Raw genomic sequence first — 14,091 nt, 5'->3', positions numbered from 1 at the left:
GAGGACCACATAAAACCGGCTCCCCATGCCCACCCTGGCCCGGCCCTTACGTACATCCTTCCTTGCTGATGAAGGCTCCTTGGGGAGCCTGTGGGATGCCCTTCCACACGGTGATGGGCTTAGGGTAGCCAGGGTCCGTGGCCCGCCGCTCCTCGCTGTAGCGCCAGTACCGCTCGCCTTTGAAAAAGTAGGTCTTGCCCACAGGTTCCCAGCGCAGAGCTGTGTCAATGCCTTCACGGGGCAAACAGCTGCCCAGCTCCCCCAGGCTGTGGGGGTACCCAGGCTCCACCGTCACCTCCTTAAACACCCAATACTTGTCACCTGTGGCCAAGAGGAGCCCAGGATCAGCTTCCCCAGTCACTCAGTGCCGTTTGCCCATCTTCAGGGTGTCAGGTGAAAACAGTCTGATGCCCTCAGCCCCTTGGCCCAGTTAGAGTTGGGAAGGGCACGAAGCCTGAGGCCAGTCACAGATCCTGGACAACTTGCCTCTGCTGCCTGGGCTCCGAGTCCCACCCTCTTTTGTTCATGTGACTTGCTCCTCTCTCCTCTCTGGTGATCTCAGCCACTTACATGACTTTGCATATGCACTACCACTCCCCAAACCTGCTACCAGTGACACCCGACTCTGAGGCTCTCCCACTGGACCTGAGCAGCAGAGCCAGAAACCCTGACCTCCCTCGGCCTACCGGCAGCTCTGCATTGGCTGGCTCCCCAGAGCTCCTCATCTGCACCACAGAGGGGCTCCCTCCTCATCACCTTCTGCCTCCCAGGTCCCCAACAGGGAGTCCTAGCCTCACTGTTGACCCTCTCTTTCCTTCTCCTCTCAGTATTCAGCCACTTCTTTTTTTTAAGATGGAGTTTGGCTCTTGTTGCCCAGGCTGGAGTGCAATGGTGTGATCTCAGCTCACCACAACCTCCACTTCCTGGGTTCAAGCGATTCTCCTGCCTCAGCCTCCTGAGTAGCTAGGATTACAGGCACGTGCCACCATGCTTGGCTAGTTTTTGTAATTTTAGTAGAGACGTGGTTTCACCATGTTGGTCAGGCTGGTCTCAAACTCCTGACCTCAGGTGATCTGCCAGCCTTGGCCTCCCAAAGTGCTGGGATTTCGGGCGTGAGCCACTGCGCCTGGCCGAGTATTCAGCCACTTCTGAGGCCCTCTGACTCTCCTGGCAGCTGTCCCCTGCCCTTCAGCTGCACGGCTCCTCCCTCATTTGGGCCTCATGAGTGGCGCGCTCCAGAACCACCTCAGAAATGGCTGCCCTGCCCCTGCCATGTCTGTCACCTCCTGCCCTCTGGCTCTCTGCTGCTCGGAAACATTCCATGAATTTCCAGCCTTGGCCTAATGGATCAAGACCACATTCTGGCCTGGCAGCCAGGGCTCTTCAGGATTTGCCTCCAAATGACCTTTCTGGGCCATTTCTCACAGCTTTCCAAGGCGGGGCCTCCGTGGCCATCAGGTGGGCCTTCTAAGCCCTGTGGCCGTCCGTACACATCCCAGCCCTGCTCCTTTATTCAGCCGTTGTCCCTCTGGAATGCCTTCCTTGCTTCTCACTATCTGTATCTCACCCATCTGAGGTCTGGCCCGAGTCAAGATAACTGTCATGAAACAACCTAGCACAGTGCTGGGTACAGGGTGGGCACCTTAGCTCCCTCCCACACCCTCCCCCGACCTCCCCAGCTTGAGTGACCTCTTCCCTCTGGGTTCTTACAGAACTGACCCGATGGCCTCCCATGAGGTACTGGGTGGTCTTCAATTGCTTGTCCCACACTCTACTTCATGTGGACGAAGCTGGTCACCCCACCAATCTCGGCACATACAGATTCTCAGTCTCACTTTCTGACTTGATTTGTCAGAGGTCAGTGTCTCCGTTAGACTAGAGGGGCCCTCTGAGGACATCTGCCTCCCACCCCGCCTCTTCCAGTTTAGATGGGAAAAAGGAGGTCCCAAGACCTTGGGCAGGGAACTGTCCCACAGCACAGTCTACATTACCTTTGAAGAAGACAAATCTCCCATCGGCCCTTTCATAGGCTGCGTCGATGCGGGCAGGCAGGCCCTTCCAGAACTGCTCGATCTGCATGGGGTAGCCCTCCTGCACTCGGTTATTGCGCAGACGCCAGAACCAGCGATCCTGGGAGGAAGCGGGAGAGGGGGAGAGAGGTGTGTCAGGCCCTGCCTCCGAACCCAGTGATTGCAGCTGTGGGGCTTAGGTCCCAACAGCCCAGCCCTCCACCGAGACTGTCCATTAGCTGCTTCTGACTTTTAAAGCCCTGGGAGGAAGACAGGATGCTCCTGTAACTGTCTTCAATTCAGCCTCCTGCTGACTCTTGCTGCTGGGTGGACAATGAGACAAACAGCAGACAGGCCTGGTGTGGAAAAGGAGGTGTGAGGGAGCCGGAAAGGATGATGTTGGGGCCTGGAGTGGCCACATGGGGGCAGTGGAGCGTCACTGACATCAGCCAGACTGGTCCTCGGGACAGTGGGAGGCTGGGGTGGTCACTGAGCCTGGGCCGAGCGCCCTCCATGAGGCTGGCTCCATCCAGCAGGGCCAGGATCATGGAAGCCAAGTCATGGGAATTCCCTCGAGACCTGGGCATGAATTCACATTCCTCCATTTATAGCTGCATGACCTAGGCCTCACCTGCAAGTGCAGGTAATAATGGAGAATCAGATGAGAGATTCTAGGCAAAATGCCCAGACCAGTACGGGGCACACAGTCCATGTTGAGTAAATGGCAGCTAAATAGTCCGAGTCCAGTAAAAACGCCTCTTGTAACTGGTGCCTCAGTCTTGGGCTGGTACACAAGCAGTCTAGGCAAGGCCTGTAGCCTCCAGGCCTCAGTTTTCTTTCTTTTTTTTTTTTTTTAGATGGAGTCTCGCTCTGTCACCCAGGCTGGAGTGCAGTGGCGCAATCTCGGCTCACTGCAAGCTCCGCCTCCCAGGTTCATGCTATTCTCCTGCCTCAGCCTCCTGAGTAGCTGGGACTACAGGCGCCCGCCACCACACCCGGCTAATTTTTTATATTTTTAGTAGAGATGGGGTTTCACCATGTTAGCCAGGATGGTCTTGATCTCCTGACCTTATGATCCGCCCTCCTTGGCCTCCCAAAGTGTTGGGATTGCAAGGCGTGAGCCACTGCGCCCAGCCTCCAGGCCTCAGTTTTCTTATGTGTAAATGGGGATGATAAAACCCGGACCTGCCTATGAACGGTTCAGTTGGATCAAAGTAGAATGAGTGCAGAAGAAGAAGCATGATTTGTAAAAGATGGTACAAAAGCTAGTATTTTAAAAGGTGTTTTACAAAGCACTTTCACATCCAGGTTTTTGACCTTATTTTGACTTTCATGTCTCTGTTAAGTTGATCTGAGATATACGGAGTCTTAAGAAAGGCCAGGTGACTTGCCTAGAGCCACTCAGTGAGAAGCCAGACTGGGGCTGACTCACGCTGCCCGATTCCTGCGCAGTGCTCAGTGCGTGCTGGGAGAACTCCACAAGGGGAGCGAGGCAGCCTCTTTCACCATCCTGTGTGATGGAGCCACCCTGCCCAGATCCCCTTCAGAGAAGGGCTTGTTGCCCCAGTGGCCAGCAGTGTGGCCAGCAGGCAGTTTTCAACTGTCAGCCCCTTTGGGGATGTTCCCTGCTTCAGAGAGCTCTCCTCAGTCACTGGATGCCCTTCCTCATCCAGTGATTGAATGAGGTAGGGGTTATAATGTTCCAGATATTTTGGACCCAACGTAGGCTGAGTGACAGGCCACCGTAGCCCCAGAGCTCCCTGCGGGGGTGGCTGAGGCTGCCATGGGCCTCTGTTGCCACTTAACCTCTCCCTCTTCCCTGTCCTGCTTCCTTCTCCCCCTCACAAATGTTGATTCTGAAAGTACTCTCTAATCGAAATCCTGCATTCCAGACCCCACCTCAGAGTTCACTCCCCGAGAGCCCAACCTGCAACACGTCAAGCAGACTGCCACCCTGTCAGTCCATGGCTGATGGAGGACAGATGACAAGATATACCCTGGGCTGCTGCCAGTAGCAGCCCCTCAAGCCTTGGTAGGGTCTGGAGTCAGACTCAGCCACCACTGACCTAGCCCCTACTCCAAGTTGACCATCTTCAGAGCCGGGTACTCACTGGATCTTCACACACTCTTTGTTAGAGGAATGACTCCCCCAGGTTTCGGATGGAGAAACTGAGGTCCCAAGAAGGGTGGTCACAGACCAGAAGCCAGCTTCCAGCACTTTCTCCCAGCATTAACCCCAGGGGAGGTGAGGGATCACCCATCTTTCCCCCTCCCTCTTGGGAACAGTTGATTCACCCAGCAGCACTAGGAAGAGACCCCATGCCCTGGCCACTGGGCTAGCTCCTGTCCAGGCCCCATTGTAATCGAATCCCAAATCAGGAGCCTTCCCCAGCTCCATGATGTCGGGGAGGAGGAGGAAAGGTCAGGGGCCAGCTGGGTGGTGCCAATCCATTGGCCCTACCTTAAAGACAAACATCTCGCCCCGGAAGAGGGCCACTGTGTTGAAGTTGCCGTCACAGATGTTGGGTTTGGTGCCTGGTGTGGATGGCCGGTCCCCGAGGGGCGGCCGAGGGGGCCTGGGCTGGCGCTCGTGTTTCCTCTCCGATGGTGAGTGGATCCTGCGGACGGGGAGTGTAGGGAGTGGCCTTGTGGGCTCCAGAGGCTCGGCTGGGGGTCCTGGAGAGAGGAGCTGCATCTTAGAGAGGGGGCAGCCGTTTCCCGCCTCCCATTGCCAGTCTCAGCATCACCCAGGCAGCTCTGAGACAAGTCTGTCCCAGTTCAGCCTCCTGTTCCCTCTCCCCAGTTTAACTCCCCCAGTCTTTGAGAAAATGGATGAAAATAGCCATTAGAATGGGACTCTCATCTTTCCATCCCCGAATCTGGTATCTTCTCTTTTCTCTCTCCTGTTACAGAGCAATCATGTCCTTCCTTAGGGTCAGCGCTCTTCCTTAGGCCATACCCTCTTTGCCCCCTTCACACGCACTGGCCCCACTTCCTCACCCCCTTCATTTATTCTCTTTCCCACCCCAGTGCAGCTTCTACCCGTCACCCACTCCAACTGCTCTGCCAAGATCATCCAATGGTTACTTGACTCAGACTTTAATAAGCACATGCATCATCTGGGGATGTTGCTAAAATGCAGATGAGGGCTCAGAGGGCCTGGGGTGGGGCCTGAGAGTTTGCATTCCTTCACACTCTCAGGTGATGCTGATGCTGCTGGTCTGAAGACTACATTTTGAGCAGCAAGATTCATAGAAACACTTTCCTGGAAACACTCTCTTGGTTGTCCTCCTGCCTCATGGGCTGTTCTTTCTCAGTCTCCTTTGCTGGCTGCGTGTCCTCATCTGCCCTACTCTAGAGGCTGGCGTGCCCTTGGGTCCTCTTCTCTTCCGTCTCTACATTTTCATCCTTAGGTCAGTGCTTCTTCACTTGGGCTGCATATTAGGATCACCTTTGGGAGCTTTTCAAACTGGATGTTCAGGAAGCACCAGGCCAGCTCTCCAACTTTTTTTTTTTTTTTTTTTTTTTTGAGAAGGAGTCTCGCTCCGTCCCCCATGCTGGAGTGCAGTGGCGTGATCTAAGCTCACTGCAACCTCTGCCTCCCAGGTTCAAGTGATTCTCCTGCCTCATCCTCCCAAGTAGCTGGGACTACAGGCACGTACCACCACACCCAGGTGATTTTTTTTTTTTTTTTTTTTTTTTTTTAGCAGAGATGGGGTTTCACCATGTTGACCAGGCTGGTCTTGAACTCCTGACCTCAAGTGATCCACCCACCTTGGCCTCCCAAAGTGCTGGGATTACAGGCGTGAGCCACCACGCCCAATACCCAACTATTAATAAAACCAAATCTCTAGAGCTGAGGGCTGGGTGTCTGTGTTTTTTTATTAGAATCCCAAGGTAATTCCAAAGGGCAGCCAAGTTGAGAATCACTGCTCTAGGTGGTCTCATCCAGGCTCATGGCTTTACAGACCTGCATCAGAGCTGTCCAGTAGAGTGTTCTGTGATGATGGAAATGGTCCATATCTGCATCGTTCACTACAGTAGCCCCTAGCCACAGCCACATATGGCTACTGAGGTCTTAAGATGAATGACTAGTTCTTAGTGTGACTGAGACCCACTAAAGAACTATAACTGAAATGATAATTTTAATATATTTTTGGGGGGGTAGAGACAGGGGTCTCACTTTGTTGCCCAGGCTGGTCTTGAACTCCTGGCCTCAAGCAATCCTCCCACCTCGGCCTCCCAAAGCGCTAGGATTACAGGTTTGAGCCACCGCGCCCGGCCTAATAAATATAAATTTAAATTTCATTACTATGAAATTTAATACTAGTTTATTTAATAGTAGTTTATTTAATACATACTAGTGTATGACTAGTGGTTACTGTATTGAACAACAAAGATCCCAAATAAGTATTCCAGCCTAGATTTTTTTTTTTTTTGAGACGGAGTCTCACTCTGTCGCCTAGGCTGGAGTGCAGTGGTGTGATCTCAGCTCACTGCAACCTCCGCCTCCCGGGTTCAAGTGATTCTCCTGCCTCAGCCTCCCAAGTAGCTGGGATTATAGGCGTGCACCACCATGCCAGGCTAATTTTTTGTATTTTTAGTAGAGACAGGGTTTTGCCATGTTGGCCAGGCTAGACTTGAACTCCTGACCTCAGGTAATCGCCCGCCTCGGCCTCCAGCCTAGAATTTTGAGCTGCAGACTGGTGGACCCTATTGCTTCACAATTACAAAAGCTGGAAACCCTGGGGGCATCCTTGACCCTCCCTCCTTCCTCTCACCCCATGTCTGATCTGTCAGCAGATCCTGTTGTTCTACCTTTGGAATAGCTTCTGGGACCCACAGCCCCCACCTGGTCTCTGCTGCTTTACTTGTGGAGGTCCTGCCTGTCCTCCAGGGCTCTGGCTGGGTCATCTCCTCCAGAGGGAGCCCTCCTTCTGTGCTCCGTAGCCTGTGGGCTGTGGGTGCCTGTGCTGTCTTGACAAGCATTTGCTCAAGTAAACTGGTCTCCCTAGCTCACCTGACTTGACCAGAACAAGAACCTCACATACCAGTGTGAACAGAACTGGGAGAGAGGTGTGTAGGAGGCCTTTCATATCTTACCTAGATAGCAGTAGCTTCTCATCTTTCACCTTTTCTTTCTTTTTTTTTTTTTTTTTTTTTTTTTTTTTTTGAGACGGAGTCTCGCCCTGTTGCCCAGGCTGGAGTGCAGTGGTGCGATCTCAGCTCACTGCAACCTCTGCCTCCTGGGTTCAAGTGATTCTCCTGCCTCAGCCTCCCAAGTAGCTGAGATTTCACTTGCCCACCACCACACCTGGCTAATTTTTTTGTTTGTTTGTTTTAATATTTTTGGTAGAGATGGGGTTTCACCATGTTGGCCAGACTGGTCTCAAACTCCTGACCTCAAGTGACCTGCCTGCCTCAGCCTCCCAAAGTGCTGGGATTTCAGGCAAGAGCCACCACGCCTGGCCCTCGTTTTTTCTTTTTAAAGAACAAAGCTCTGGTTATAGTCCCCATCACGCTGTATCACCGTTACTCCTGCAGATGTGTGAACCTGCCTGGCTAGAGGTGGAATCTATGGGAGCACTCAGTCACCATCTGGTGTGGGAGGGAGGGAGAGAAGCATGAAGGGACGGGGAAGAGTGTGGAAGGGGAGGGGTAAAGGAGAGGGAATGGGTGGCCCTCACCTCACTTTTGTCCCTCTCAGTTACAGCTCAGACCCTCCCCTAGGTTTCCCAGGTGTGCCAGGGGAAGCCTTGCCCTCTGGCCAGGCAAAGCCATTGGAAGTCTGTAAAGGTCACACACAGAGAAACAGCAGCAGTGCTGATGATAGCAACGTCCCCCTCCCTCGTCCCCTGCCCCATGACAGGTAGGCAGTCACAGCCCAGCCCCGAGGAAGGAGCAGTCCCCCCTCTCCCTGCCACACACCATAGATCTTCTGGATGCCCTGGAGATCGTCCTGGGGCAGCTTGAAGTTGTGCGTCTCCATGTACTGGTAGAAGGGCGCCATGATGGCGCTGGGGTCGCTGGAGTGCTCCAGTCCCAGCGCGTGGCCCAGCTCATGCACAGCCACCAGGAAGAGGTCGTTCCCTGTGGAGAGGAGTGTGGGGAGGTGCCCAGGGCACCTGCTTAGATATGAGTCGGTCAGCCAACCCATTACCTCAGCAAACACCGAGCACGGGCCCTGTGCCAGGCCCCGTGCTGGACACCAGGGACATACAGAGAAATCAGGCACAACCCCTGCCTCCCAAGCCTCTCTGCAGAGCAGGGACAAGGAGAGAGAGAGTGACAAGTGAGGCAGAGGGCTCTGGGTGCTTTAAGAATGTCTGGGAGGGTCGAGCAGGGATTCTGAGGAGAGAGGGGTCATTTAAACCTGGAGGAAGATGTTCAGGGAAAGCTTCACAAAGGTGAAGTTGAAGCTCAGTCTTGAAGGATCAGAAGTTAGTCAGGAGAACGGATTCAGGGGGCAGGAGAGGAAGGGTGGGGGTGGCATTCCTGGCGGATGGAATGCAATAAACACAGTCCAGAGACAGGCAGTTTCATTCCACCTGGCTCTGGAACAAAGCAGGAGGGGAGGGCCGGAGAGAGATGAGGTCAGCCAGGCTGGAAAGCAGGGCGCTTAATGCCATACAAAGGAATTTGGATCAGCTTCTTGGCTAGTGGGGGGTTTAAGTAGGAGTGGGGGTGGTGATACAATTAAATCACTCTGGCTGCAGTTGAGGGAGGATTAGAGGGAACAAGACCTGGGGCAGGGGGATCTGTTTGGATGCTGGGGTCCAGGCGAGAGATTGTGGGGAAAAGCAAGAGAGATCAGATTGTTACTGTGTCTGTGCAGAAAGAAGTAGACATAGGAGACTCCATTTTGTTATGTACTAAGAAAAATTCTTCTGCCTTGAGATTCTGTTAATCTATAACCTTACCCCCAACCCTGTGCTCTCTGAAACATGTGCTGTGTCAACTCAGAGTTAAATGGATTAAGGGCGGTGCAAGATGTGCTTTGTTAAACAGATGCTTGAAGGCAGCATGCTCCTTAAGAGTCATCACCACTCCCTAATCTCAAGTACCCAGGGACACAAAAACTGCGGAAGGCCGCAGGGACCTCTGCCTAGGAAAGCCAGGTATTGTCCAAGGTTTCTCCCCATGTGATAGTCTGAAATATGGCCTCGTGGGAAGGGAAAGACCTGACTGTCCCCCAGCCCGACACCCGTAAAGGGTCTGTGCTGAGGAGGATTAGTAAAAGAGGAAGGAATGCCTCTTGCAGTTGAGACAAGAGGAAGGCATCTGTCTCCTGCCCGTCCCTGGGCAATGGAATGTCTCGGTATAAAACCCGGTTGTATGCTCCATCTACTGAGATAGGGAAAAACCGCCTTAGGGCTGGAGGTGGGACCTGCGGGCAGCAATACGGTTTTGTAAAGCATTGAGATGTTTATGTGTATGCATATCTAAAAGCACAGCACTTAATCCTTTACATTCTCTATGATGCAAAGACCTTTGTTCACGTGTTTGTCTGCTGACCCTCTCCCCACAATTGTCTTGTGACCCTGACACATCCCCCTCTTCGAGAAACACCCACAAATGATGAATAAATACTAAGGGAACTCAGAGGCTGGCGGGATCCTCCATATGGTGAGCGCTGGTTCCCTGGGTCCCCTTATTTCTTTCTCTATACTTTGTCTCTGTGTCTTTTTCTTTCCTAAGTCTCTCATTCCACCTTACGAGAAACACCCACAGGTGTGGAGGGGCAACCCACCCCTACAAGAGATGAAAAGGCCCTGAGCTGGCTGGGCGTGGTGGCTCACGCCTGTAATCCCAGCACTTTGGGAGGCTGATCGGGGTGGATCACTTGAGGTCAGGAGTTCGAGACCAGCTTGGCCAACATGGTGAAACCCCATCTCTACTAAAAATACCAAAAATTAGCCAGATATGGTGGCCTGCGCCTATAGTACCAGCTACTCCGGAGGTAGAGGCAGGAGAATCGCTTGATCCTGGGAGGTGGAGGTTGCAGTGAGCCAAGATCGCGCCACTGCACTCCAGCTTGGGCAACAGAGTGAGACTCCATCTCAAAAAAAAAAAAAAAAAAAAAAAGGATGCCCTGAGGTGGAGGGAGGGAGTGGGGACAAAGAGAGCAAGTCCTGGCAAACTGGCAGTCAGCTTCAGGAGACCCCGGGCAGGGCAGGTGGGGCCCGGGCGTGGGCAGCTCTCTGCAGGACCTTGGTTGTGGAAGCAGGGAACTGTTGGCTAAGATTGAGGCAGGGATTCAAGTGTAGGTGAAAACACACTCCAGGTCCTGGAAGTGGGACACAGGATCCTGAGGGTGGAACTGAGGCAGCTCCATGGCACGGTGGTTACGAGCTTGGGCTCCTGAGTAGGACAGATTACCTTCATTCCCCCTGCCAGTTTGTGAATATGGCCAGCAGGGCTACCCCTAAGCCTCAATGTCCTCACTTGTAAACTGGGGGCATCAGACCTACCTCACCGGGTTGTGTGAGGTTGAATAAGATACACGTGAAGTGCGTGGTATGACACAGAATGGCAGCTGTTGTAATCCTATGTAAGATAGAAGCTTGGTTACTGGAGGAAGCCCATTGACCAGAAAGGAAGCACGAGGCCAGTGGAGCGCCAGCAACCAGATCCTCTGAAAGCCAACTCCCCTGGGCTTCTGTATTGTGCCTAGGACAGGACAAGGAGGCCTGAACTTAGGGGGATGAAGTAACCGCAGCTTTGGGGAGAAAATGCAGGGGGTAGGGAGTCAGGTAGGCTGTGGATCACCAGTCCTGACTCCTGTCTGCCCAGTGTCAGACCCTTGCTTGCCTTGACCTCTGGCATTTGTAGCCCCTTGAGCCCTGCCTCTTATCTTCTGGCCCTAAGGCATGGCTCGGCCCATTCCTGCCACCTGTAAGTCCAGGGAGGCTGCCAGGAACCTAGGAGGTGGTCTAGAGTCCTACTGCCCACTCTGGCCCCAGCGTCACTGGCCTAGGGACACATGGGGGTGGGGATTGTTTGGCCTTCCTGGCTTAGGTCTCTGGAAGAGAGAAGAACCCCATGGGGCAGACCCAGGCCACGGGCAGTACATGCCTCCCACACTACTGACACCGCCAGTGTCTTCTGTGAAGCCACCTTTGAGCAACGGAAAGGAAGGGGGATGGGCAAGATCAGTGCAAGGTTGGCCAAAAGCCTGGGGCTGGCCTTCTGCTGGCATGAGAGGGCCAGGCCGCCCCCAGCTCCTTACTCAGGTCCTGGCCCCTCTGGCAGCAGGGAAGGGTGAGCTCATCGCTGAGCTCCATCCCAAACAAACTGGTAGAGCCAGCGGAAGGCAGCTCTGCTTCCTGGGGTCCAGTCCTGGCTGTGCTCCTGGGCTATTCTATGACCTGGGACAAGCTGTTCAGGGCCTCTGTCTCCTGAGCAGGCTCTTCCCCAGGGGCTGTCCACAGGGAGCTCAGCTGGGAACCAGGGAACACGGCTCTGAGCACTGTGGGAGACTCAAAACCTTTGTCCGCAGCCTTGTCTCTTGCTCTTTTAACCCCTGTTCTGGGTCTGCAGAGAACAGGAGTGACCCCTTAAAGGAAAGAGGCCTGTGGTTTGGGTCCAGGAACCAAAAGGAAGGGAAGAGCGAGGGAGCCAGTATCCTGCTGCACAGAAACCCAAGAGAGCCCTGAGGGGGAGACAGAGGGAGCAGGGCAGGGGCAGGAGGACTCCCTGAGCTTGTGAGGTGAAGGCAGAGGTATGAGGAGGAGAGGCCTGCTATGAGGACCCCATGCTCCATGGGCAGGAGGCTGCTAGGGTCTTCACTCTTCAAGAGGGTGAGCGGCAGGGAAGCAGAGTGGTCAGGAATGCAGTCTCTGGGAGCCAGACTGCCTGGTTTTGAATCCCAGCTCTGCCATGTCCTAGCAGTGTGACATTTTAAATTCTTCCTCTGGAAGATAGAAGGAACAATGGCACCTTCGTCATAGGGATGTGGGTGAAGATTCATGGGGCAGGGTGTGTAATGCGCTGATACCAGCTCCTGGTACAGAAGTATTACCCTTCATTAGCAGGGTCCTGTTGAGCTGTGTGTGAGCACCAGCACCCCTGATAGGGTGTGTTCCTGTAAGTCCCTGGGCCTCCGAGCAAGTCCCCAGCAGTCTACTCGGCTACTCAAGTGGACCTTGTCTCTGCCTCATTTCTTTCTTTTAGGATCTCCATATTTGGTCGTTCCCATCTCATTAACTCCCCCAGCCCCACGAAAGGTGATAGCATTTCCCTTTGCCTCTGTTCTTCTGCCAGTGCTGCCCCTTCCCCTGGAATAACCTGATTCCTTCAAAGTTCAGCTCCATGCCTGTCTTCCAGGAAGCCTTCCATGACTTCCCAGCTGGCAGTGAGTGCTCCTTCTGCTGTGCCCTCCCAGCAGTTTCCCTGAACTGCCTTTATGGCACTGACCGCTTCCTCCCCACGTGATTGCCACTAGTGCACATGCTCGCTGCCCCAGGACTGTGGGTTCCTTGAGGACAAGCTTTGTGTTGAAGAACCAGGTGACAGCCCCCGGAATGGAACAGCGCCAAAAGCACCGTATTTTACCAAGGGAAATACTCGGACCACCTGCAGCAGAACCACCTGTGGTGACTTAAAAATGCGGAGTCCTGGGGTCACACCTGGCTCTGCCACTTTCCAAAGGGGTGAATTTCCTATTTTTTTAAAAAGTATTTTCTTTCTTTTTTATTTTTGAGACAGGATCTCACTCTGTCACCCAGGTTGGAGTGTAGTGGTGCAATCTCGGCTCACTTGAACCTCCGCCTCCCGGGTTCAAGCCATTCTCCTGCCTCAGCCTCCCGAGTAGCTGGGATTACAGGCATGTGCCACCACACCCGGCTAATTTTTGTATTTTTAGTAGAGACGGGGTTTTGCCATGTTGGCCAGGCTGGTCTCGAACTCCTGACCTCAGGTGATCTGCCCCCCCTCGGCCTCCCAAAGTGCTGGGATTACTCCAGTGCTCCCATCGCACCTGGCCCGGGGAGCCTTTTAAACACATGGAGGAGGTGGGGAAGATATTCTGATTCAGGAGGTTTGGTTTGGGACGTAGGCAATCTTTTTTGTTGTTTTTTTTTTTTAAGTTCTCCAGGTGAATTGTATAATGGTTGGGTCAGGCTGACACAACCTGAAGCAAATGCTCGACCTCAACATCACTAAAAGTGGGACAGTCTGCATCATATGTATTTGCTAATATGGTGAATAGGAAGTACCAGCACCACCTAGGAAGTATTCTTGCCAAAAAAATTGAACTTGAATCTAGTCAGCCTGTAAATCTAATGAACAACATTCAGGAATTATGGGCAAGAGAGACGTATTAAAAGTAAACTTGATTCTAGTCACGCCAAATGATTATACTCGGGACACCTGACCCAGTTTCTTCAACAAATATATGGAGGGAAACGTGTGTGTAGGACGGGGGTGTTTTAAATAAAAAGGGCTTTAAGAGACATGTCAGCCATGTGTGTGTGGATCTTGTTTGGATCCTGATTCAAGCAAACAACTGTAAAAGACATTTCCAAGGTACTTTGGGAAAGTGAACTCGAACTGGGTATTAGATTTTAAAAAATTATTGTTAATTTTGTTGGGCTTGATAATGATTGTGTGCTTATGTTAAAAATTAGCCTTTATCTGTTAGAGGTATATACTAAAGTATTTAAAGGTGAAATGTTAGAATGCCTGAGATTTTCTTTAAAATACATCAGCCAAAAAAAGGTAGATAAATAGGAATGCCACAACGTTGATAATTGCTGAGGCAGGTGGTGGGTATCTGGGAGATCATAGAAGCATTCTTCCTACTTTTGTGAGTTTGAAATTTTCCATAATGAGAGTTTAGAAAAAAGAAGTAAGCTAATAAGTTCAAAAAGTTCCCAGGAAACTCCACCCCTTTGCTGAGTCTATGTGGAAATTAAACGAGATAATATATGGATGCTCAATAAATTTTGGTTCCTTGCCTCTCACCCAAAACCTGCCTTCACTGCATTCCAGTTCAGGAGTCGATTGCTGTGGTCCTGAGCTGCATCTGGACAGTTCCTGCTTGGTTTTCCAGAGCAGAGCAAAGTCCTGATTCTTATCCAAA

At 52.6% G+C, this 14,091-nt stretch overlaps 2 protein-coding genes across 5 annotated transcripts in view, besides 3 other annotated features; one reads left to right on the top strand and one right to left on the bottom strand.

Annotated features, from left to right (window-relative positions):
- MMP24-AS1-EDEM2 (MMP24-AS1-EDEM2 readthrough) overlaps positions 1-14,091 on the top strand; it is a 162,759-nt gene that overhangs the window by 6,233 nt on the left and 142,435 nt on the right. The window lies entirely within an intron of this gene.
- The window catches only part of MMP24 (matrix metallopeptidase 24), a 50,309-nt gene that overhangs the window by 5,109 nt on the left and 31,109 nt on the right, over positions 1-14,091 (bottom strand). For 2 of the 4 annotated variants that reach the window (NM_006690.4, XM_017027598.2), the window contains exons 5-8: positions 7,938-8,099; positions 4,471-4,685; positions 1,992-2,130; positions 55-321 (exon numbers count right to left, since the gene is read on the bottom strand). In NM_006690.4, the coding sequence (NP_006681.1) occupies positions 55-321; positions 1,992-2,130; positions 4,471-4,685; positions 7,938-8,099 (783 nt within the window). The remainder of the gene's footprint in view (positions 1-54; positions 322-1,991; positions 2,131-4,470; positions 4,686-7,937; positions 8,100-14,091) is intronic. The other 2 variants (XM_011528500.3, XM_017027597.2) reach the window with 2 other exon arrangements.
- Positions 8,329-9,090: an enhancer, noted in NCBI's record as "OCT4-NANOG-H3K27ac-H3K4me1 hESC enhancer chr20:33850603-33851364 (GRCh37/hg19 assembly coordinates)". NCBI's record gives its function as "activates a minimal SCP1, AML or CMV promoter by ChIP-STARR-seq in primed H9 embryonic stem cells {active_cell/tissue: H9 hESC(primed)}" and the evidence as "EXISTENCE:reporter gene assay evidence [ECO:0000049][PMID:30033119]".
- Positions 9,091-9,854: an enhancer, noted in NCBI's record as "NANOG-H3K27ac-H3K4me1 hESC enhancer chr20:33849839-33850602 (GRCh37/hg19 assembly coordinates)". NCBI's record gives its function as "activates a minimal SCP1, AML or CMV promoter by ChIP-STARR-seq in naive H9 embryonic stem cells {active_cell/tissue: H9 hESC(naive)}" and the evidence as "EXISTENCE:reporter gene assay evidence [ECO:0000049][PMID:30033119]".
- Positions 9,855-10,616: an enhancer, noted in NCBI's record as "H3K27ac-H3K4me1 hESC enhancer chr20:33849077-33849838 (GRCh37/hg19 assembly coordinates)". NCBI's record gives its function as "activates a minimal SCP1, AML or CMV promoter by ChIP-STARR-seq in naive H9 embryonic stem cells {active_cell/tissue: H9 hESC(naive)}" and the evidence as "EXISTENCE:reporter gene assay evidence [ECO:0000049][PMID:30033119]".

This window comes from Homo sapiens, chromosome 20, assembly GCF_000001405.40.
Source record: "Homo sapiens chromosome 20, GRCh38.p14 Primary Assembly".
Lineage (NCBI taxonomy): Eukaryota > Metazoa > Chordata > Mammalia > Primates > Hominidae > Homo > Homo sapiens.
Note: the sequence above shows the minus strand (reverse complement) of the source record. Positions and strands in the feature narration are given on the sequence as shown.